Below are 24,406 nucleotides of genomic sequence, written 5' to 3' on the forward strand. Positions count from 1 at the left end.
GTGCTAAACAATCTACAAAGCTTCTTCCAGCTCACTGCAGCACATCACTTAGCACATCCTTACCACACCACTTAGGAGTGGGTAAGGGTCTCAGCACTGTTTAAAAAAAAAAAAAAAAGACATGATCAACACCTATGGCCCACATCTGGCTGAAACATCAAAGTCCAATTACCTAAAGAAAAACAGTACAGCTAGAAAAAGGTTGAGATGTAGGCCACTAAAATTAGAAGTGAAAAAACAAGAACACAGGACAAGGACAGAATATTAGGATTTTTGTTATTAAACAAAAGGGGATGAGACCGATGTCACAAAATCATACACAGTCTAAATTGAACAGGGATTAACCCATGGGGTCAATTTTGACATGTAAAAGGAATAGATTGGGAGAGGGAATGATAATAGCTAACATTTATTTAGAACTTACTTTATATCAGGCATAGTGTCAACTGGGATGGAGAATTAACAGATTTAATCCTCAAGATAACCCTGAGATGGATACTATTCTCACATTCCTCCCCATTTTTCAAATGAGGAAACTGAGAGTAAGGCCCAAGACCTAAAGCTAGTGAGGGATGGAAACATGATTCAAATCAGGCAGTCTGATTCCAGAGCTATAATTTTAAAGTATATACTGTACCTAGTACTTACAGTATAGTAAATATAAGCAGGCTGCACAAACCAAAATATATACATACCTACACATATACAGTATATATATACACAAACATGTACATATACACATATATGTTTACATAAACAAGTAAATGACAGATCCAAGGGGAAGTTACCCTCTATTGTTAATTTTCCAGAAGAAAACATGTATTGCCATCTATATGGGGGCCAAAATGCTGGATGGACCTCATTTCTCAGTCTCACAAAAAATTTTCCACAATTCTGTATTTTCACTTTTAATTTTTACTGTAATAAAATGGAGGCTTCAAAATTGACACTACTTTTTGTATCCACAGAATTCAATAATTATATGCTTCTGTGTTCAGATATCAAAATCAATTTGAATGAACACAAAACTGAATAGCATCTCAAATTTTGAGCTGCCTATCAATCTCTCACAAAGCTTCTTGGAAAACATTCATTTATATTTGTCATGGGGCACAAAATTTGTACAGTGCTTTGAATGCAACCTTTGTATATAAAAGGGTCTATACAGAAAAGTTTTAACCAAGCTTGAAGCTTTTCTCCTAGGGCTTTAACATACAGATACCAAAAGGAGCCTTTGTTTACTCATTGGAACAACATTGTCTTCTAAGGCCACTCACCACTACTTTGTAAATTAGTGCCTCAAGATCTGGAATCCCACTTGGTTTTTCCTGCCAATGGCTCTAGGTGTTTGAACAATTTGGGATATAACTTCCTCTATCCTTATCTACTAGCATCCTCATTGCAATCTGAACTTACGATTCCCGTAAAAGAAATTCATTTACGTTACAGACAATATACTTATGTTCTAACCAGGTAAAGGTCAATTAGTAATCCATATTTACAAAGCTATAATTAGGAAGTAAGTTAGGAATAGACAATATAAAGTAAAACAATAACAAAGGTATCTTGTAGGAATAGAATAGCACCTGTACTTTGGCAACTCTTACTTTCCTGCAGATTATGTTAATGGAAGGGAAGAATTTCAAAGGCACCCCAAAGAGGCAAATATTTAGCAACTTTCTCTCAAATCAAACTTTTACACTTTGGATCTCAAACTCAAGAAACACACATCTAAATATTTAAACTTGTGGGTCTTGGTTAACAATGGCAGCAAATATCACCCAAAGAGCATTACGCCAATCCTGAAAATCTTTTGGTTGCTGTTTCCATGGAAACAGCCTAGATGAAGAAAACCTAAGAGTAAAGAATAATACATTTTTTAAAACCACTTTATCTTGTTTTCCCCTATCAGTTAGCCAGCATGGCACATAACTAACAGGCACATCAGTTATGTACCAGAAAATTCATGACTCATTCAACAAATATGTGTTGGTTATCTGCTGCATGCCAGGCACTGCACCAGAGGATAGGGTTACTCTGGAGAGCTCACAGAGCTCAGTCTAGCACAAAGACATTTACTAGCCAATGACACAAAATGATCGAGAAATTTCACATTCTTTTGTCATATTATGTTTTTGAAATTTTACATGTCAAAAACAGTGTACATTTTATACTTACATCACATTTCAGTTGGGACTAGCCACATTTCAAACCCAATGCCAACAAAAGGCTAGTGTCTTGTACTGGACAACATGGGTACAGATATTCCAATGGGGACGAAAAGCATGCATATCAGGAGTAAGTCGTTTCCTCAAAGAACATAAAATCTAACCAGTAGATTAGCCACTATACATGCAAAATATATATGGTACAGAAACATAACCGTAGAATTACTCAGTAGGTAAAGAAATCTGTAAGAAACATTAATATATAAGATACTGGGTGAGCAACTGTGTGTAGAATTCTTTCAGCTGCAAATGATGGAAAACCTGACTGAAAGTGGCTTAAGTGAAAAATAAGATAGGTGTTACTGACTCGGGGCTTTCTCCCAACTCTGCTTCCTCTAGATTGGGTTCATTCTCAGGCTTCATGTGGCAGCTAGTTCCCAGCAGTTTTAGGGGCACAGTGTCAGACCCCTTGTTCTGCTTCCACAATATTGCCAACAAATGCCCCAGAATTACATCTTCCTATTTCTAATGGCTGGCTTGGTCATGTACCTATGCTGAACCAATCACAGTAGCCAGGGACATGTGATGCTTTAATGGGCCAGACCTGGGTCACTTCTGTAACAAGGCATCAAGTCAACTTCCCCAGAATCACAAAGACTAAAGTGGCTTAACACTGATAAGCCTGATGTATGGCCTATCTTCCTTTAACCATATTACTTGACTGCTTCACTTGATACTCAAACAACCCGGAAGAGTCTTATAAAGTCCATTTCCAGTGATTTATTCCTTCATAGCTCAATTTATTCACTATTACTACAGGCTGGACATTATACTGATTGCTTTACAAGCAGTATTTCATTTAATCTTTCCAACAAACCCTATGAAGTAGTTACCATCACCATTACCATTTTATAGATGAGGAAAACGGGGATCCAAGGGATTAAAAACAACTAGGCTATCAGTGATTGGAATGGGATTCAAACTCTGGTCCATCTAATTCCAAAGTCCACGTTCAGCAGTACCTGAAATTAAGATATTTTTACTGTTCCCTCCCTCTTCCCCATCATTAAAGAAAAAATAAGAAAGACATTATATAAGCAATACGTGATGCAATTCCACAGAAACCACATGATTTATAACACCCTATCTGCAGACATTGCTGAGAAAACTGATGACAGCCCCAAAGAAAGACAACTGCATTAATAAACTAGAATGATACTTCTCTAAATTCTAACTCCTCAAATAAGGCTATGATTTGGTGTAATTAACAGTATAGTTAAGTTCTCAAAAATTCTCAGCCATAAGCTCATAAATATCACTGGAGCAAAGAGGAACAAAATAAAGTTTCTAAAATAATATATCATGCATGAACAGACAATGAAAAGTTCCATTATTAATATTTTCCCAAAAATTTTTTAAAATTTTTATTTTTAGAGACAGGGTCTCAGTTCTGTCATCTAGGGTGGAGTGTAGTGCCATAATCACAGCTCACTGTAGTCTTGAACTCCTGGGCTCAAGCGATCCTCCCACTTCAGCTTCCAGAGTAGCTAGGATTACAGGCGTGTTGAACCATTGCACCTGACCTTCCCAACAATTTACTATGAACATTTTCAAACATACTAAAAAGTTCAACATTTTCAGGGTAAACACTTGTACTTTACAAGTCTACCATTAAGATTTAACTATATGTGCTTTGTCACATATCTCCTCATCCTTCCCTGTTTTATCAACTTCATGATCTTCAAAGTAAATGCAGAAGTCAGTACACTCCTAAATATGACAGTATGCATATCAACTGAAGTTCCTATTTGTTTACATTTAGCTTTTGAGGTGGAATTTAAATACAAAAAAAATGTGCAAAACTTTTTTTTTTTAAGACTGCATTTCGCCATGTTGCCCAGCACTCAAGCAATCATCCTACCTCAGCCTCCCAAGTAGCTGGGATTACAGGCATGTACCACCATACCAAGTAAAATGTGCAAATCTTAAGTCTACATTAATTAAGCTTTTGCTAAATGCATACAACTATGGAACGCAAATCCCTATTAAGATAGAGAACAGAATCATTACTCCGGGTTTTTTTATGCCCTTCCCAGCCAATCTCAACCCTAATTATCTCTACAGGCAACCGCTGGTCTGATATTCTTTCCATCATAGATTAGTTTTGACTATTCTAGAGTATCACCTAAATGGGAACATAGAGTATGTACTCTTTTGCATACAGCTTCTCTTACTCAGCATGTTTTTGAGATTTACCTATGCTGTGGTATATATCAGTAGTCTGTTTCTTTGCATTGCTTGGCAGTATATCACTGTATTGTGTCCCTTATTGATGGACAACTGGGCTGTTTCCAGTTTTTGGTGATTATCAACAAGAACTTCTATGAACCTATGTTTTCATTTCTCTTGGGTAAATACCTAAGAGTAGAAGGGTTGAGTCCCAGGGAAGGTAGATGCTTAGTTTTATAAGTAACCACCATACCTTTCCCAAAGTGGTTGTACCATTTGACTTCCCTAACAAGAATGTATAAGCTTTGGTTGCTCCATATTCTTTGTCAACATTTGATGCTGTCTTTTTAATTTTAGCCATTGTGTTATGTGTGATCAATTAATATTTTAATTACTTTTGAGTTAAATCTATTTGTAAGATACAGCACAAAAATAATTGAGGTACATAAGATATAGTGCAACATTAAGAGAAATTACAATATTATAAATTTTATATATAACTTTAAACTTTTTTCTACTTTCAAGAAGTCACATGATTTAAACTACACTTTCATTCAGTGCCTCATGAAATAATTATGCTGTCAAATATTAGCATTGTTGCTTAGGAAACTGGTATCAAAATACTAACTTTTCTTTCTGTTTATCTCTTACTACTTAATAATACCAACAATTTATGGCTCACTTAACCTACAATTTAGATCAATAATATAAATTGAAAGATATTTGTTAAAAAAGAACACTGTCAATGTCTCTCTTTAAAATCTAATTCTCATTTGCTATACTAAAATATTTAGTCACCTTTTCTAACATAACTCCATCTTGGAACTACGTCCTCTAATTAAGTTCTGGGGGGACCAAGAATGGCATCTGATGCCATTCCTTAAAATAAAAACAAAAACACACCTTGGTACAATTGCACATTCTGAATTAGCTTGTAAAAGCAGCACAACTGTCCCAGAAACAAGCAAATCACTCTTGGATATATTATGATATTTTTCAATACAGTAGGCTTACATAATCGATGCCATTATAGAACTCAGCAGGTGACAGTCCACATCAGTAAACAGACATCTACTGATGACAAAGAAATAGTAACAATAGCCACTTAGGGAAGCCACTAGCGGTGCCTGAAGAGATAAACAGTTTCATGGTCAGATCCCATTTTTTATGCAGTCTCTTACCTGTCAAGGGGCAGCCAATCCCTACATAGTTACTGTTGACTTTTCTTCTACACAAATGTCAACAATGGGGCACAAAATTTTAAGAAATGCTTCCTGACTCCTTAATGTCATTGTAGCTTACAATGACAAACTTCAAATTGGTGAAAAAATGACTATTATGTATTCCACCAAAAAGGAGATGTCCAACTACCATTTTAACACATGCCTATCTTATTCATACCACTCTGCAATGCACCAATTTGTTTTGCTGTTTTTCTGAAATGTTTTCCTTCCCTTAAAAAAAAAAAAAAAAGGCCGGGCACGGTGGCTCACACCTGTAATCCCAGCACGTTGGGAGGCTGAGGCCAGTGGATTACAAGGTCAGGAGATCAAGACCATCCTGCCTAACACGGTGAAACCCTGTCTCTACTAAAAATACAAAAAACTAACCGGGCGTGGTGGCGGGCTCCCAGGTACTCAGGAGGCTGAGGCAGGAGAATGGCGTGAACCCGGGAGGTGGAGCTTGCAGTGAGCCGAGACTGCGCCACTGCACTCCAGCCTGGGCGACAGAGCGAGACTCCGTCTCAAAAATCACAGTATAAAATGAACCACGCTCTTTCCATGCTATGCTATGGTACCCTCTCAGATGAGGAGAGCAGGCATGGCCAGCAGATCCACACAATGAGCAGAGTCAGCAGTGCACTCCATGCAAATGGCTCCTCAGCTATTGAGCACACTATGGGTGATCAAAGAAACAGAGGGTAAAGAATAAGAATAAGGAGGGATTTAGTGGAAGTCCTTTGACACTCCAAAGAGCATCACAAATTTAATCCACCATAAGTTTCACTGCAGATTAGAAGAGTGCCCAACAACTAGAAATGGGAGCAAGAGCAAACCATGGAGATATAATATATATATGGTAGAAGAGATTACACACTTTTTTTCTTACTCTTATCTGTTTTTCCAGATTTCCTACGAATATCTATTACCAAATGTTCTACCATTTAATTATTTTATAATATAAAAAGTAAAAAATTCTACTATTCCACAAATTAAAAAAGAAAGAAAGAAATCTATGGCTCAAAGGGTTGAAACAAAGATGTTTGTCTTTTTTTGTTGCAACCCCTTTTCTTATGCTTGCTCCTAAATTGCCATTTCCTATTGAATTGTATTATTATTAAGTTATTTCTATTTAATTTTTTTTTTTTTTTGCCCTGCCTTTTGGTGCTGACCTACTGAATTTTAATGGGGGAAAAACAGACCTTTTCTGAAGAAAACGACATACAAAATGAATACACAGAACCATGTAGGTAAATATCTCACTAGATAAGTATTACAAGAAGGGTTTCATAAAATTAGAGTTCTTGCTGATAGCCCATTACAAAAGTCAGGGTAATTATATGCTTTTTCCGGGTCCAGTCTCTGCAACAAAGAACCAATTACTCTTTAACCCCCTTACCCTTCCAAATATTTCACTACGTAAGCTTGAAGACTACTAACCAAAATTAAACAACGAAGAAGTTGAAGCAGTATATAAAGAATGTAACTATTCCTTTCTCTAGGTTTAATAGAGAGATGAATGGCAGACAGGCTGACAGACAGGTGGACAGAGATAGATAATGCAAGCAACAGGCTTTTCCCTTTAAAACTGAAACCAGGGTTTCTACAAAATCATTCAACTGCATTAAAACAAAACAATTCCACTGAGTTTCTATTGAAAAATCATCTCATTATGAGTCCAAGAATATGACTGTGGCCATTTACTCTTAGAACCTATCTCTTCATTGGCCAACTATGTGGCATAAACTAAAATGATCTTTAAAGTCCTTTTCCGCAAGAAGAAAGAAAACAATTATGATTCTATCAAAACTTTAACTTTTCATATAACCCTAGTACAGTAAAGAGTAAGACAGCTTTTAGATCAAAGAAGTCTGGTTTCCAATCATAGGTAACCATATTATCTTGTCCAAATTGTATATTACCTCTGAAACTTTCTGAGCTCCAGTCCTTAAATGAAAAATATCGACCTTACAGGGTTACTATGACAATTAACTACTGAATGAAACTTAAAGTTCCTAGCTCAGAGATAAGCCACAGAGCAGTCACGCAAATGGCAGTTATTACAATGATTAATATTGGCAGTTGCACAATTCTGTCCACTTATATTTCACCACAGAAAGAAAAGCAATGTAACACTGAAAATATTAAAACTTTCTATGGCAATACTCATAAATTACTGAAAACAATTTACCTTTTTTTCCCCTCTAGATCTAACATCATATTCTAATTGAACTCAAGGAAAAGACCACCTCTCCCACACCCCTTTTCAGAAAAACAAAATGGATGCACCTGACAATCCTCAAAATGAAAGCTATTCTAAGAGTGTCCACTACAAATATTAAAACTGTAAAGGGACAATCTGCAGACTTGATGAACACTGTAAAATGCACAAAGACATTTCCAATTAGCAAACAGATGTGTTAAACAAATAATTTTTAATTAAGCACAACTTGTACTACAAAATTCCCTAATAATCAAGCTTTTTAGCAGAATTAGTGTACCAAATATGTTTTATTTCATGGTTGTGCTATATTTGCTAGACCAAGGCCACCTAGTAAATATCCTATTTTAAGTTATCATGAAGATGCCCAGATTAATTTTTATTGTGTTCAGCATTCCCTTGAAAAAGGATTAAGTAACAAGGTCATGATTTATAGCGAAAAAAAAAAAAAGAGAGAAAAGCTCAAAAAAAAAAAAGGCTCAAATAATCATTTTGTTCACAATTATATCCAACAAAGAAGACCTCTGTTTTCCTTAAGGTTACATTAATTAAGGTGGGATCAGCAAACGAAAGGTGATCAAGTTAAATTTCAAAAAAATTAGCAAAGTAAAACAAATTTTGCACTATTTTAAATCAAGGTACAGAACAGTATGAGTTTTAAAATATCTATGTATTAATATACAGACAGACACATGAGTTTATACACACAAAATATGCCTGGAAGGATATACAAAAAAACTAACAGCAGTCAACTCCAGGCGAACCAGGTAGCTGGGGTGAAGAGCTCACCTCAGGCTTGTTTTTCATGAAGTATCCATCTGAACACATACACTTTCATGTGTATGGAAGTATATTTATGGCAGGAGCAAGGGAGCATGCACAAAAAGAAATAAAGCAGAAATGAGAAAGCAGTCAAGATTGGTTCTTATATACATGATTAAAAAGCAAAGTACAGAAACAAGATCTTCACATCAAAAATAAGAACAATTTTATGGAGCACTAAAAATGAAGTTGCATGCCCAAGACAATGCTTTTTCTTTACTGCTTCATTTCTGTTTCAAAAGTAAATAAGTAAAACACAAATCTAAATATTAATTATCACATTTATCTGCAAAGTTATTTCCTATCATAAAAATGGGAGAAATGTAAATTATTGCTACATTTAAGAATCTTTTTGCAAGACACATTGTTTACACATATTCTATTCAAGCTTATTGAAATGTCCAGTGTTATAATACATTTCTAAGAATCAATTTAACATTCAGCTGTAATCACACCAGCACAGAAATAGACAAATTTGTGTTTTCTTGTATTTACTTCCTCTACTGCTGCTTAAGGGAAATCTACTATGGCATTCCTGGTTTCTAAAAACGCACCACAACGTCAACTGATGAGTCATGGGTCACACTCCAAGTTCTTATGTACCAAAGAAATCAGGGCACTAAAGTCTTACACACCAATTTTAAAGACTGCCTAATAAGCTCGGTTACAAACCAAGAGTTCTTTATAAGGTAACACAGATGACAGTTTTTAAACAAGGCGTGAAAAACTTCAAAATAAAACTGCAAATTCCACAAAGAGTGATAGAATTATTTACTCTTTTTCAGACTCCTAATAACTGGTAGGGTTTTGTTTTTCTTAATTGAGAACATACAAACATAAAGCACTGTTGAAATACTGACAGGTACAAACTCAAGTTTGTAAAAACTCAACAAACTCCTAGCTTCCTGAAAGTCCAAATTATCTGAGAAATAATTTTCTATATGCCTTGTTTTGACTCTTAATTATTTCCAGTTTTCACTATTTAACCATTTCACTGACTGGGAAACCTCCAGGAGAGGGTACAAAAGGGCAGGAAGCAAAGATGACACCATTTGATTCCTTTGGGCATTATTAGTTAAATTTCCGTGGTGAAGAGACAAATAGCTAAAATGAAACCTGGAGATCAGCTGTAGATTCTAGTAACCAGCATAACAGACCATTGAGATTTAATCACATCATCTAATTTTCCTCCTAGCATCCATCATTATCCTCTCCATTAATTGCTTACCTATTTGCTGTTGTTTCTCTTCCTGCCCCACAGCATGTAAACTCCATGAGAACAGAGATCCCACCTGTCTTGCTCATTGCTATAGTCTCACCATGTAGAACAGTGCCAGGCACATAACAGGCATTCAATAAACACCCAGTGGGAAAAGAAGACATATATGTATTCAGTTATCTTAGGACCTGCAGTCATGAAAAGGCTAAAATTTATGTTTGCTTGAAACTATTCTTTACTCGTAACTGCTAATAAATTTTTATTTTGCCTTGTCACAACTCTATGCTTTTGTCATCTAAATATGTTATCAAAATAGAGTAATCATACTGAAATTATAATCTAGACTAGATTTCTGAGAACAAGAACTTCTATAATTCACTTTTCTATCCCAAATATCTAGAATGGTACACAGCACAGAATAGGCATTCAAATATTTGTTGGAAAATATTATTTTAAAAGAATTATAACTGGTGGGATTAGTAATGTTTATTCTCTTTGCATAGTTTATGATTTCCTGCATTTTCTACATTAAGCATGTATTAATTTTAAAAATATACACTGCGATTTTAAAAAAGAAAATCAACATGTATCCCTTATATCTTCATGTAGTTTATAATGTATACAATAAGGTAAATCAAACAGATGTGCTGCTTAATCCCCAAGAGTAACCAAACAGAAAAACATTCTTTAAAATTGAGATATTGCTAAATTTTAAATTAAATTTAAAATATTACTTTTAAGAATATTAAGCTTTATTGTCCAGAAAGATATCCTTCCATAAATCCTAGTGTACTTAGAGAGCAATTTCTTTGAGTTTTTTGTTTTGTTTTGTTTTGGTGGGGGGCCAAAGTCTTGTTCTGTCATCCAGGCTGGAGTGCAGTGGTACGATCTTGGCTCACTGCAACCTCTGCCTCCCAGGTTCAAGCGATTCTCTTGCCTCAGCCTCCAGAGTAGCTGGGACTATAGATGTGTACCACCATGCCCAGCTAATTTTTGTGACGGGGTTTTGCCATTTTGACCAGGCTTGTCTTGAACTCCTGGCCTCATGTAATTCACTTGCCTCAGCCTCCCAAAGTTCTGGGATTACAGGCATAAGCCACTGCGCCTGGCCTGTTTTTCATTAACAGAATCATTTTCTTTTCAAAAGGTTCAAATAACCAACAGTGATTTTTTTTTTCTTTTTTTTTAAGAGATGGAGTCTCGCTCTGTTGCCCAGGCTGGAGTAGAGTGGCACGATCTTGGCTCACTGCAATCTCCGCCTCCCGGATTCAAGCAGTTCTCCTGCCTCAGCTTCCCAAGTAGCTGGAACTACAGGCGTGCATCACCATGCCCACCTAATTTTTGTATTTTCTAGTAGAGACAGAGTTTCATTATATGTTGGCCAGGCTGGTCTCGAACTCCTGACCTCAGGTGATCTGCCTGCTTTGGCTTCCCAACGTGCTGGGTTTACAGGCGTGAGCCACTGCGCCTGGCCCAGAGTGATTCTTTTTGAAGACAAAGAAAGTTATATTATAAACAAACAACTTAAGAACTACATAATGGTTTGCTTTCCTCCAGCACCAACTTTCAGGTGAACCCAAACTGTAGAAAGAGAAAATATAGTCACTATCACATTTAGAAAGACTAAAATCATGCAGAGCAACTGTGTTACAGGTAATCATTTTATAGGAAAAAAGTTAATACAACATAAATTAGTTGAAAGTTGACTGATGTTTAATAACAGTACTCAAGATTTTACCATCCTTCTACATTCTGCAAAAGGGATTCATTAAAAGTTTTTAATCCTTTCAAAAAATAGGTACTATACCATTGAAAAAAATCCAGACTCTCAAAATAAATCCTGAATGGTTTCTTAATGTTATCATACTCCATTAAAAACAGAAAAGAAATTCAAATGTGCTAATAAATGTACTACATATACCGGAAAAAGAATAGGTCAGTGTCCCAAAATAGAATTATGTCTATTTTTAGCAAAATCTAAAATTAGTCTATTGAAGTATCAATTAATACATCTCATCTATAATAAAAGCACAAAGCCTAAAACTGAGAAATCCATGAGATTAATAAATATTTCATGTGGGAACTAATTGCTATGGACACTTGAAATCTATTAAATAGCCTTCGCATAGTGGTCTTAAAAGGTCATGCACTGCTACTACTGATCAAATGCTTGACATATTTAGTAGCAGAGGCACAGGATACAACCACATGCACTGTGATACCTGGCCTCTCCCTACCAATTTTATATTTCAGCTTCAGCTAAACCCAGACTATCGACTGTTTCCAAATTGGTATCTTGCAACTATAAGAAATAAAAACAACAGAGAAATTCACACTAAAATATACTATGAAGCAGCTGAAAACTGTATTCTAGCCCAATAAGCGACATCAATTCTCCCAATTTAAAACTATTCCATGTATTTCAGACCTTTCCCTCTCTTTGCTATAAGCAGGGTCTCAGCAATATGCTCAAAATATTTTGTTTGGACCCTTATCTTACACCATATTCAAAAATTGCCTCAAAATGGACTAAAAACCTAAATGTAAAACTTGAAACTATAAAACTCCTAGAAGAAAACATATTGGAAACACTTCATGACACTGGATTTGGCAAGGATTTCTTGGATATGACACTAAAAGCACAGGCAAAAATAGACAAATGGGACTACATTAAAATTAAAAACTTTTGCACATCAAAGGACACATCAACAGAATGAAAAGGAGAAAATATTTGCAAATCGTATCTGATAAGAGGTTAATATCCAGAATATGTGAGGTACTCCTACATCTCAACAATAAGAACAAAAAAAACAGGCCAAGGATGTGAACAGACATTTCTCCAAAAATGATACAGAAATGGCCAACAAGCATATAAGAAGTTCAGCATCACTAATCCCAGGAAAATGCAAATCAAAACCACGAGATATCACCTCATACCCATTAATATGGCTACTATTAAAACAGAAAAGAACAAGTGTTGGTGAGAACATAGAGCATGTAGAGAAACTGGAATCCTTCTGCACTGACAGTGAGATTGTAAAACAAGTGCAACCGCAATGAAAAACCGTATGGAGGTTCCTCAAAAAGTTCGACTACCATATGATCTAATAATCCCACTTCTGGGTATACATCCAAAAGAATTCAAAGCAGGGTCTCAAAGAGACATCTGTACACTCATGCTTATGGCAGCACTATGAGCAATAGCCAAGAGGTAGAAGGAACCCAAATGTCTACCGACAGATAAACAAAATGTGGTATATGTATACAATGGTATATTATTCAGCTTTACAAAGGAAGGAAATTCTGTCACATGCTACAACATGGATGAACCTTGAGGTCATCATCCTAAGTGAAATAAGCAAGTCACACAAAAAAAGACATATATTGTATGATTTCATTTACATGCGGTATCTAAAGTACTCAAATTCTAAAAAGTAGAAGAGTGGTTACCAGGGACTGGGGAGAGGAGGAAATGGGAAGTTGTTTAATGGGTACAGAGCTTCAGTTTCATAAGATGAAAAAGTTTTGGAGATCTGTTGCACTGTAATGTGAATATATTTAAACGTGTACACTTAAAAATGGTTACGATAGTAAATTTTATGTGGTTGCCACAATAAAAAGCTGAAGCAATGTAAAATATTATTCTGTTAAATATTCATAATTTTGGTAGAATTTATTTTACTTCAACCACTGAAAATTCAGCATCCAAACTGAGATATACTGTCTAAGTGCAAACCATTTCACTAGATTTCAGTACTTAATATGGGAAAAAAGAATGTCAAATCACATTTACAATTTCATATTGATGACATATATTTTGAACACACTGCTTTAAAATATGGAATTTAAAAAATGTTATGCTTTAAGAACAATAATTAGAGAAGAATGTGGGGTCAATGGAACTGTGTTTGTTTTACAAGGTTAAAGATTGGAGCATATTTATAGGCTGGTGTGAAAAAGAAAGCAGGGAGAAAGAGATTAAACATAGAAAAGAAGGGAGTTAATTGATAAAGCCGCTCCTGAAGGAGACTTGAAGAGATAACAGGCACATTTGGAAAAACAGATCTGAGACTTAAGTAGGTAAAGTTCGGAAAGGGAGAGACAGAAAAGTCCTAGAGAAATCACAGCAGATCATCTCATTTCCTCCATGAAATAACCAGATTATCTGCAGACTATATAGAAGAGGTGGAGTTGGATAAAAGGGTTTGTAATGATGAAGTTTTGGACTAAATCATGAGTGATGAAGAACAAAACCCTCATTGGGGCTAACAAGACCCATATGATCAGGCCATGGCCTACCTCCCTGGCCTCAGCCCCTGCCATGGTCCCAGCTCTCTCTCATCCACCTCCTCCCCCTCCCTCAAAGTGCCATCCACCTCTGACTGCCTCCTCTGAGGGTTTACCTGTGTAACACCTACTCAGCCAGATATCTGTTTAAGGACAACTTCTTCAGGAAGTCTTCAGTGATACCCCACTTTGCAGAGACTAGGGCAGTTTCCCTTCTCATAACCCAAACACCCTATGCCAGCATCATCCAACAGAAAGATCACTTGAGCCACATGTGTCATTTCAAACGTACCAGTAGCTATGTTTAAAAAACGAAAAGAAACAAGTGAATGAATTATTATCATTTTGAGACAGAGTCTCACTCTTGTTGCCCAGGCTGGAGTGCAGTGGCACAATCACAGCTCACTGCAGCCTCAACCTCCTGGGCTCAGGTGATCCTCCCACCTTAGCCTCCCCAGTAGCTGGGGTCACAGGCATATGACACCACACCCAGCTGATTTTTTATAGAGACAGGTTTCGCCATGTTGCCCAGGCTAGGCTCAAAATCCTAAGCTTGAGTGATTCTGCTGCCTTGGCCACCCAAAGTGAGCCACCATGCCTGGTCGAATTATTTTTAATATTTTATTTAACCCAATATATGCAGAATATTATCTTGAATCGCCTCTAGATTGTAAACTCCATGAGGATACCACAGCATCCTTGGCTCAGTGTCAGAGCACTCAGTAGGAGCTAAACAAACGTTTACAAATTGACTGAAGGGTATGGGGGTAGGGGGTTGAGGGACATTTCCCTGCATTGAGGACCAGCCATTTAATTGGTGATACCAAAGCAATGTGGAGACAGAAGCAGAGTTAATCTGAACAGGGGCGTTATCTGGCAGGTACAACACAAAAGACAAGTCCAAGGGAGGCAAAGGTGCCAGTGGGAAGCATATTCCAGGTGTTTAACCATGGGCTTCCAAACTGGATAGAGACGCTCTGCAAGGCCAAAAGGTGTCCCTGCAGCAGGGAGGGGAGGGTGAGGTGGAACAGAAGGACTGGCACACTGTTGCTGTGAGGGGGAGGGGGCACTCTAATAGAAAGTGTGGGTATTGAGAGAGCTGCAAAGATAGGAGAAGAGACGGAGGTCCAACTACAGGATATGTAAGTTTTAAGATTTCTAACATGGAAAATTTAGGGAAACGACAAGATGCCAAATGAATGTTAAGACACAGTGGAAGCAGGCCGGGCGTGGTGGCTCATGCCTGTAATCCCAGCACTCTGGGAGGCCAAGACACGCAAATCACCTGAGGTAAGGAGTTCGACACCAGGCCAACATGATGAAACACCATCTCTACTAAAAATACAAAAATTATCTGGGTGTGGTGGCGGGTGCTTGTAATCCCAGCTATTGGGGAGGCTGAGGCAGGAGAATCACTTGAACCTGGGAGGTAGAGGTTGCCATGAGCCGAGACTGTGCCACTGCACTCCAGCCTGGGTGACAGAGCGAGACGCAGTCTCAAAAAAATAAAAATAAAAAAATAAAAATACAGGCGAAGCAAAGGTCACCCGGCTGCAAATGATTAACTACTCGAATGAATGTCTTTTAAGATTTTAAATACTACAAGGGCAGAGACAATCTTTTGTGTGCCACCCAAGCCCAGCACTTCTTAGGTACTTGTTAAATACAACTAAACTGAAGTCAAAGTTCAAATGTTAAAAATCAGATAGAAGTAAAACTGCCTTTGCAAAAATTATATCAGTGAAAACATAGCAGTGGGGAGATTTTAGCCAATTCTCTTCTTGCCTTTAGCTTTCAAGCTGCCCTTAATTATTCCTGGGCTTAAACCAAGCTAATTTTGGGAGAAATTTAGTTTATAGTTTAAATGGTAACAGCTCTTCCCCAAAATTCAACCACCTTTGTAAAGCTAATGAGGGACCACGAAGCTAGGCAACAGAGGAACCTGAATTCAGCTAAGGTATAGACATAAACAATTGCCAGCCACTATTCCAGAGGTCACAGGATATGCAACTTGCCCAATTACTCCCTCAGATAACATCACTACTGGAGAAACTAAGATTGGCCTTTTGAGATATCTGTTCAGGTTTTTTGGTTGGACCCACTGACCACTCCTGTGGCCTCACCCAGAAGCCACTCAGAGCATAGGAGTACCATTTCCCACACCCCCATGATTGTGCCCCCAACCAATCAGCAGCAAGCACCCATTGCCTAGCCACTCCCACCCCTTCCCCCAGACTACCTTTGAAAATAGCCCCCAAATGCTCAGGTAGGCTGATCTGGGTAATAATAAAATTCCAGTCTTCTGTTCCGCAAGATCTATGTGTGTAAAAACTCTTTCTCTATTGCAATTCCCTGCCTTGATAAATTGGCTCTATCTGGGCAGTAGGCAGGAAGAACCCATTGGGCAGCTAAAGAAGAAAAAGTCACAAAACTGAAATAAGATTTAAGTAAAGGTCTCCAATTTATGGGTTCAGTAATTATTTATTGGTCTAAATGATAAGGGTTCTCATAAACGATTAAGTCTTTAAGATTAGTAGCCGAAATCCCAACGGGGAAGGGGGTGGCAGGTATAAATATTTCCCAGACTTACCTTACTTTTATCTATAAAACAAAGTGATAGACAACAGAGCCTTGGAAACTGAGAGGAAATAAAAACACACTCAGGAGTGTTTTTTTCTATTCTCTTATTCAACACAACAGTCATCAACACAGAATACTTCTATGTCCAAATGTGGGCTCCCCCCGACACCCCAGTACACAAAGCAGTGGACACCAGCTGAGTGTCCTCTAGTTCAATTCAATTCTGACCTGGAGATAACCCCAGATCCCAAAGCTGAGGGCTCAGTCTCCAAGACCGCTCCCCTCTCCACCAGACACCAGTCGCAAGTGCAGGCCTCAGAAAATTCTAACTGACTGGCCTCAATTTGGGGTTCCCATAACCCCTCTTTGGGTTCAATTAACTTGCTAGAGCAGCTCACAGAACTCAGGGATACACTTACTTAGGTTTACCAGTTTATTATAAAAGATATTACAAAGGATATAGATGAAGAGATGCACAGGGCGAGGTACGGGGAAGGGGTGCGGAGCGTCCATGCCCTCTCTGGGGCGTGTTACCCTCCAGGAACCTCCATGTGATCAGCTGTCCAGAAGCTCTCTGAACCCTGTCCTCTTGGGCCTTTTATGAAGACTTCATAACATAGGTATGGTTGGTTAAATCATTGGCCATTGGTGATCAGCTTACCCTTCAGCTCCTCTGCCCTCCCTGGAGGGTGGTGGTGGGGCTGACAGTCCTAACCCTCTAATCCAGCCTTTCCAGTGCCCAGGGCCCATCCTGAAGCTACCTAGGGGCTGCCAGCTGTTCAGTCAACTCATCAGCATACAAAGACACTTAGCGCTTTGCAGATTCCAAGGAATTTGAGAGTTGTATGCCAGGAAACAGGGATAAAGACCATATATATATTTCACAACATCACAGAAGCTTAATCATAAGCCATCAATGTTGCAGTTCTTCTATATTCCTATAAGAACAGGGAACAGTTCAAGCTTCCTCACTGGATCAATTCTCTTTTGCTTTCCCTCTGACCAATGACTGTTTCAAAGATTTGGAGAAGTCTGTGAGCCAAGCCAGATCAAAGCCAATTTGGATCCAATTTGTTCATTAATGCATGCTGTCAACAAAAAGAGTCAAACTCTGCAACATATTTGAAGAGATTTATCGTGAGCCAAATCTGAGTGACCATGGCCCATGACACAGCCTTCAGGAGGTCCTAAGAACATGTGCCCAAGATGGTAGGGGTGCAGCTTGGTTTTATACATTTTAGGGAGGCATGAGACATCAATCAAAAAATTTTAAGAAATACATTGGTTTGGTCCAGAAAGGTGGGACAATTGCAGGGGGTCGGGGGTGGGGTGGGGGGTTGGGGGGGGTAGCAGGGAGTGCCATTCCAAGCCATAGGTAAATTTAAACATTTTCTGGTTGACAGTCGGTTGAGTTTGTCTAAAGCCCTGGGATCAACAGAAAGGAATGTCTGGGTTAAGACAAAGGATTGTGGAGACCCAAGTTCTTACTTTCAGAGGAAGCCTTCAGGTAGTAGGCTTCGATAGGTGGTAGTAAAACGTTTCTTATCGGACTTAAAGTCTATGTTAATGTTAATGTCAGAGAGGTATAACAAGTCATGTCCGACCTCCACTTCCCACTCATGGCCTGAAACTGTCTCTCAGGTTAAATTTTAAAAGACCCCTGGATGAGGAGGAAGTCCATTCAGATGGCTGGGGAGAGGGGGAAGCTTAGAATTTTATTTTTGGTTTACAATACATTAATATTTGTTTAAGTACTTAGGGATTCTGCAGTTAGCAAAATAGATAGGATCCCAGCTCTAGGAAGCACACATTCTAAAGGATAGAACCTACAACACCTGCTTCTTTAAAAGCATACTAACTAGAGGACAATTTATTATTGTAATGTCATGAGCACTTGCTTGTTAAAAAATTCCTTTTTTGAGATGGAGTCTAGCTCTATCACCCAGGCTGGAGCGCAGTGGCGCAATCTCAGCTCACTGAAACCTCTAGCTCCCGGGTTCAAGCGATTTCTCCTGCCTCAGCCTCCTGAGTAGCTGGGATTACAGGCACCTGCCACCACGCCCAGCTAATTTTCGTATTTTTAGTAGAGACAGGGTTTCACTGTGTTGGCCAGGCTGGTCTTGAACTCCTGACCTCGTGATCGCCCGCCTCAGCCTCCCAAAGTGCTAGAATTATAAGCGTGAGTCACTGCACCTGGCCAAAAAATTCCTCTTAATAACTTCTTAGAAGGCTAATACACAAAATAGCCACCTTTTCTGAATCCAACCAAACAAAATAACTTATTAACCACAGATTTTCCTACTGCTTTGTATTTTCTGAGGAAAAGAAACAGGTGCCAGGAAAGCTAAAAGGGATGTCTTTTGTAAGACTCTCAGGCCCTCCTACAGGGTCAATTTAGGTAGGCCTGCCCCAGTCTTCTAATTCTACATGCAAGATACATATGTATTACTTTTTCAAACAACACTGCTTCCTAAATAGAGGAGAACCTATGAAATGAGACCTGTGATTCTTTTTTAAAAACCTAGATGCATTTGGATAGAGGAAGGTGGGCCTGTGAACTCTAGCCCTGTAAGCAGGAAGGAAAGTTAAATAGTTCCTCATAATACAATTTAAAGATATCGGGTGGCAATTGTAAAGGAAAGAAAGAAGAGGGGAAGAAGGCCAAAGAGCCAACCAGATTACAAGAGCCTGGAGTCCTCCTTTCTTTGATGGTGGCCAAAATATATTTTAAGGATAGAAATGCCTAATATTCAATGTCAACACTTCTGATATCGCTCCACTGTGAACCCCTTCACCCTCCCCTTCCTCTAAATCTCTCATAAAGCTTACCATACTCATAAAGCCTTTCTGTGAACTCTTTTTCTTTTCTATTCTTTCCTAGCTCCTGTGAGACACAACTATCCAACAACTGCATCATGGATCTCTCAACCATCCATTTAGCACCTCCTTAGATTAGTCCAAAACTGAACTTATCTTCCCTTCTACACCTCTACCATCAATTGTTTTTAACTGCTCCTTCTCATATCCTCCAACATTCCACTAGCTCATTAATGTCATCATCTAAAGGAACAACTAATATTTACTGAGCACTTGGAATGTGCTAGGTACCCTGCCAAAGGCATTACATGCATAATTCCTCAAACCCTACTCAACAGGTACGACAATCATTTCCCAAATGTTAGGAAATCAAAGTTCTGTCAGGATAGTTATTCTAAGGGTAAGTAATAGAATTAGAATTTGACCCGTTTTAATTTCACAGCCAGCTTACCCAGTACATGTCAATCAATGCCTGAAGTCAAACAACCCAGGATTCATCCTTCCCTCCTTAAGCCTACCCAGTCACTTACCTAGTCCAGCCTCCTAGTCATACCTCTTAAACACCACGTCATTTCTCCTTCCACTGCCAGCACACTAGCATTTACTAAGTCCTTACTATCTGGCAATCACTATTCTAAGTAATAGACATGTTTTTTCAAGTTCTATCCCCCAAACTCTGAGATGACAAACCTAAGGAACAAAGAGGTTTCAGTGTATGACAGAGCCTGATTCCACCCCAGGTAATCTGAATAGAGAATCCCTGAGCACTTAACCCCTCCATTAGAACAGCCTCCAACTTAGTCTCCATATCGCCCATCTGGAAGCCCACCATCCTCCAGACGCTGCAGATATCTTTCTGGAATGCTTACCCGTTATCATGACATTCTCCTGCTTAAAATTAGCAGCTCAGTATCACTGACTGGATAAAGTCCAAATTTCTTAATCTGGTATAAAAAATCCTTCATTTTTCTGTTCAAGTCAATTCAGTAAATATTTTAGTGCCCAATGTAAGCAAGAAAAGGTGCCAAGTGTTCTGAAATGAATAATACATGTCCCTGACTACTACCTCCACCTCGGACACTGGGTCCTTCGGCCAGACAAGCCCATATGCAAAGCTCGTAATACAACAGCCCAAAGACACATACATTTATTTTTAAGTGGCCTGCGTGCTACGTGCCTACAATGTACGAAATCCCAAACCAATCTGAAGACTAAGTGCCTACGTAACACCTATTCTTACAGGTCTCCAGGCAGAAATGCTCCCTAAGTTCAAATTACTTCAGGGTAACTAGTGGGATAAAGGCATGGATCAGTTTCCAAATGAGAAAACTGGGCAAGAAGCAACCCCCGCCATCAATGGCTGGCATGCAGTAGGTACTTTATCAGTGGCTAAATGAATAAATAATGAAAAAATTTCAAAGTTGATGAGAGAAACAAGATATATGGAGAATGTAACACACAAGTGGGCCGAATTAAAAGTGATGTTATTCTACTTTGGTTCTCATTTGGCCTACTTTTACCCCATGGGAAAACTCACATGTGGGACTCGGACAAGCTAAAAAGCCAAAACTTTGTTATTCATGGCTCAACAAAGCTTTGACAAGCCAAAAAGGATACCAGATTCCCGCTTCCTTCTTTACCTGCCAAAGTCCATTTTCTAAAGAGGTGTGGGGGTGGGAATCAAATCTAGCAAAGTAAATAAAATTGATCTACTGAGATCCAACTTCATTAGTGCTGCATCGAAGTACATGCAAAAGAAATATCAAAACCTGTCCTGGGAAGAAGGCCAATTTACAAGTAAGTACTATTGCCGCAAGAATGTGAAATTCTTAAAGGCAGTTCCAATAAGCTGGAGCTCACAAGTGTTCCTCCTCCTGCACCGCCACCGCTTTTCACTCAACTTTGTTTCTGATTTCTGTGATTTTAAAAAGCATAATATACACAGCAAAGCCCATGCATAAGTGTACTTTAGCTCCTGGTACAAACGAACGTCTGGATTCATAAACTTAACGTAAACTGAAATACTAAAAGAAACACTACATGAGTCAAAAGTCCTTGTTTAAAACGTGGCATACAGCTTTGAAAAGCGAGTGATGTATTTCCTGAATGATGCTTTGTGTGCAACTGCTTCCAAATCAAGATTCATATTTTTAAATTACCCCCTGGAAGATGTCAAATCTCTCTCCCACCCTCTCCAGCCTAAAGAGAAAGGTGAGAATTCACAGGCAACAGGCTGGGGCGGAGGGAATGATCTCTCCCCATCCCTTTCCAGAGAACAAAACCCGATAAAGGCAGCTAGTGCCACTCTCATTGCCGACACCACACACACACAGAGGAAATTTAAACACTCACCCCACCTCTCCCTTCCCTTAAGAAGCAAACGACGCCAAGCTCTGCACCACGGTGGCCGGAACCAGCAAACGCTAACAGCCGGAGGCCGCCCGCCTCCCGGGCGCCTGCAGGCGGCGGGCACCGGGCGCCGACTCTCCCTCCTGGACCAGACCCACACCCGAGTCCACGCCAGCCCCGCAGCCCGGGCGAGCGAAGACAGCCGCGAAGGACCAAGGCTCCGGGGCGAGCTGTGGCGCCGCTCCGGCCGCCTCCCGGGGCGCGGCGCTGACCCACACCCAGCTGACGCCCGCACCTGAGGCGGCTGCCCGCAGCCAGCGAGAGGGCGCGCAGCGAGGCGGGCAGGGCAAAGTTACTCACTGGGAAAGCGCGGCTGCCCGGGCCGCGCACGGGCTCCTGGCGCCGCTGCTCGGCACCAGCTCCCGCTCTCCGCGGCCCGCTGAGGGAGCGGAGAGCCTGCCCGGCTCCGCTCCGCCAGGAATCGCCGCCGCCGCCGCCGCCGCCGCGGATTTCCTGGCAAAAAGCAAACTCCGGCCAAGACTTCACTTCTCAACCGCCCCTGCTGCCTTCCCGGGGGCAGCGCCAAGGCCGAGCGGCCCAACCCGCACCCGGGCCAATCGGAGGTAGCACAGGGCGGGAGGTGGGCGGACCAGAGGGCGGCTCCACCTATCCGAGAGCTCGGGAGGCGGGCCAGAAGGGACCCGTCACTCCCGGGTTAGAGTGAGACCACTCCGCCCTCGCCGCCCGCCTCCCCCACTCGCCCCGGGCTGTCCCCGCCGCCCGCCTGATTCCCCTGCGGAAGCCCCGCTGGCTAGGTGTCTGCGCGCACCCCCGGCCGCCGCCAAGAGTGGCACAGCTGGGGAAGGAGTGAACATCCAGAGGAATCGCGGGGCGGGGTGGGGGGAGGCCAGGAGAACAGGTGGCGCAGGGAAGCAGAAACGTAGTTGCGCTGGACAGCTGGAGTCGGGCAGGGTCGGGGCCAGCGGCGAGGGGACAAGAAGGGCCGATTCGAGAGGAAGCGCACCTGAGGGAGCACAGCGAAGGCCGGGACGCAGGGAGCTGGATGGAGAGCGAGCCTGGGCGGCGAAAGGTTGCCGAGGCGGGGGCTGGGCGCCTGGGAACAAAGGTGAGGGCGGGTTCCGCAGGTGAGGAGGTTTGAGGAGCCACTGGGGAGAAAGGGAAAAGGAAGTCTACAGCCGGAGAGGACGCGCTCTGGGGGTAGAAGGAATCCTAGGACGGAAAGGATAAGGTGGGAAACAGTTTTCTCCCAAACTCTCACTCCCCCAAAAGAGACATTTCTTTCTTGCCCTATTTTGACCCAGTTGAAAATGCAACTGCAAGCTCCCCGGTGAAACAAATACCGCCTTCAACCTTCGTATTCTGTGGTGACTCATCTCGCACGTGACCCCCCTCCCTCTTCAAGGTGTGTTGACCGACTACAGTTTAAGCCTGTCGTCCCACAAAAGGCCCGGGAGGGCCGGGGTCCCAGGAAGGGCCATCCTGGGTCAACACCGCCCCAGTTGGGAAGTCGGGCCGCTTTCGGACTTGCCACTGGGAAGGGAAGTGATTTGGGGGCGGCAGGTAAGGCCGCGCCCCTTCGCCATCACCTGGGGAAAGGTACCAGAGTTGAGCCGGGGCGCCCGCAGGCCTGTCTGGGCCTCGGGGTAAGGCGGCGCTGGCCCCGCCCCCTGCCCCTCCCGCCGCGAGTGGCCTCGCGTGGTCGCCCAGGTGAGCCGCGGGGCCGCGAGCCACCGCTCACCCCGCGTCGGGGCGGGGGCTGGGGGTGGAGCCTCATGCCCCGCCCCGCGGCTGGGCCCTGCCGCGCCGCTGCGGCTCCTCCTCCCTCCTTCCGTCCTCCGCGCCTTCCGTCGGTCGGTCCTTGCTTCCTGCTTCGCCTCCGCGCCTCGCGCTATGGGACAGAGCCCCCGATCCGCCAGCACCACCTGAGGATCCAGAAACCGCCCCAGCGATGGAAGAGGATCAGGAGCTGGAGAGGTAACGGCCGAGGAGGAGGCGGGCGGAGCGGGCCGCGCCCAAGGGGAGCGGGTGGCCGAGGGGCACGCTGCCTGGCCTGGCAGCCGGGGCCTGACTCGGGGCGCAGAGAAGAAGCATGGAGAGAGAAGTGGGGAGGAGACATGAATGTGTTTCAGTTGAGAGGCTGAGAGGTACACTAGCTATCAAGGAGGGAAGACAAGTTGGGAGACCAGAGTTAAGTATCCGAACTGCCCACCCCCGTTACAACAGCAGTGTGTAAAAATCACGCCCCGGGCCTCTGCTCCTGAGGACGGTACTCGTGCCTCTGTCCCTGTAACTACGGCTCACCTTCTTTCTATGTGCAGACTGCTCCTAAAGCCACTCTGTGCGCTGAGCTCTTTTTCTCCCTGCTGCTTGACTCCTGAACCTTCCATTCTCCTAGTTTCCTTCTCTTGCAAAATGGAAGCCGTAGTTGGGCCTGCACATTGATCATCTGTATCCTCTATTTTTATACTAGAGC

At 41.3% G+C, this 24,406-nt stretch overlaps 2 protein-coding genes across 14 annotated transcripts in view, besides 4 other annotated features; one reads left to right on the plus strand and one right to left on the minus strand.

The window, feature by feature from the left end:
- LNX2 (ligand of numb-protein X 2) overlaps nucleotides 1-23,005 on the minus strand; it is a 75,195-nt gene extending 52,190 nt beyond the window's left edge. For 2 of the 9 annotated variants that reach the window (XM_011534995.3, NM_153371.4), the window contains exon 1: nucleotides 22,273-22,427. The gene's annotated coding sequence lies outside the window, so the exon portion shown is untranslated. Of the gene's footprint in view, nucleotides 1-8,627; nucleotides 8,670-9,888; nucleotides 21,880-21,915; nucleotides 22,428-22,936 lie in introns of those variants that run through there. The other 7 variants (XM_047430151.1, XM_047430145.1, XM_047430147.1 and 4 more) reach the window with 6 other exon arrangements.
- Nucleotides 21,977-22,866: a silencer, noted in NCBI's record as "silent region_5203". NCBI's record gives its function as "represses an Ori minimal core promoter by ATAC-STARR-seq in GM12878 lymphoblastoid cells {active_cell/tissue: GM12878}" and the evidence as "EXISTENCE:reporter gene assay evidence [ECO:0000049][PMID:35858748]".
- Nucleotides 21,977-23,183: a biological region, named in NCBI's record as "H3K27ac hESC enhancer GRCh37_chr13:28194694-28195422".
- Nucleotides 22,455-23,183: an enhancer, noted in NCBI's record as "H3K27ac hESC enhancer chr13:28194694-28195422 (GRCh37/hg19 assembly coordinates)". NCBI's record gives its function as "activates a minimal SCP1, AML or CMV promoter by ChIP-STARR-seq in naive H9 embryonic stem cells {active_cell/tissue: H9 hESC(naive)}" and the evidence as "EXISTENCE:reporter gene assay evidence [ECO:0000049][PMID:30033119]".
- The window catches only part of POLR1D (RNA polymerase I and III subunit D), a 46,669-nt gene continuing 44,903 nt past the window's right edge, over nucleotides 22,641-24,406 (plus strand). For 2 of the 5 annotated variants that reach the window (XM_047430381.1, NM_001374407.1), the window contains exons 1-2: nucleotides 22,641-23,038; nucleotides 23,235-23,907. In XM_047430381.1, coding sequence (XP_047286337.1) covers nucleotides 23,882-23,907 — 26 coding nt within the window. In that variant the 5' untranslated portion in view covers nucleotides 22,641-23,038; nucleotides 23,235-23,881. Of the gene's footprint in view, nucleotides 23,039-23,234; nucleotides 23,908-24,406 lie in introns of those variants that run through there. The other 3 variants (NM_152705.3, NM_015972.4, NM_001206559.2) reach the window with 2 other exon arrangements.
- Nucleotides 23,487-24,046: a silencer, noted in NCBI's record as "silent region_5204". NCBI's record gives its function as "represses an Ori minimal core promoter by ATAC-STARR-seq in GM12878 lymphoblastoid cells {active_cell/tissue: GM12878}" and the evidence as "EXISTENCE:reporter gene assay evidence [ECO:0000049][PMID:35858748]".

The sequence above is a fragment of the Homo sapiens genome, chromosome 13 (assembly GCF_000001405.40).
Source record: "Homo sapiens chromosome 13, GRCh38.p14 Primary Assembly".
Lineage (NCBI taxonomy): Eukaryota > Metazoa > Chordata > Mammalia > Primates > Hominidae > Homo > Homo sapiens.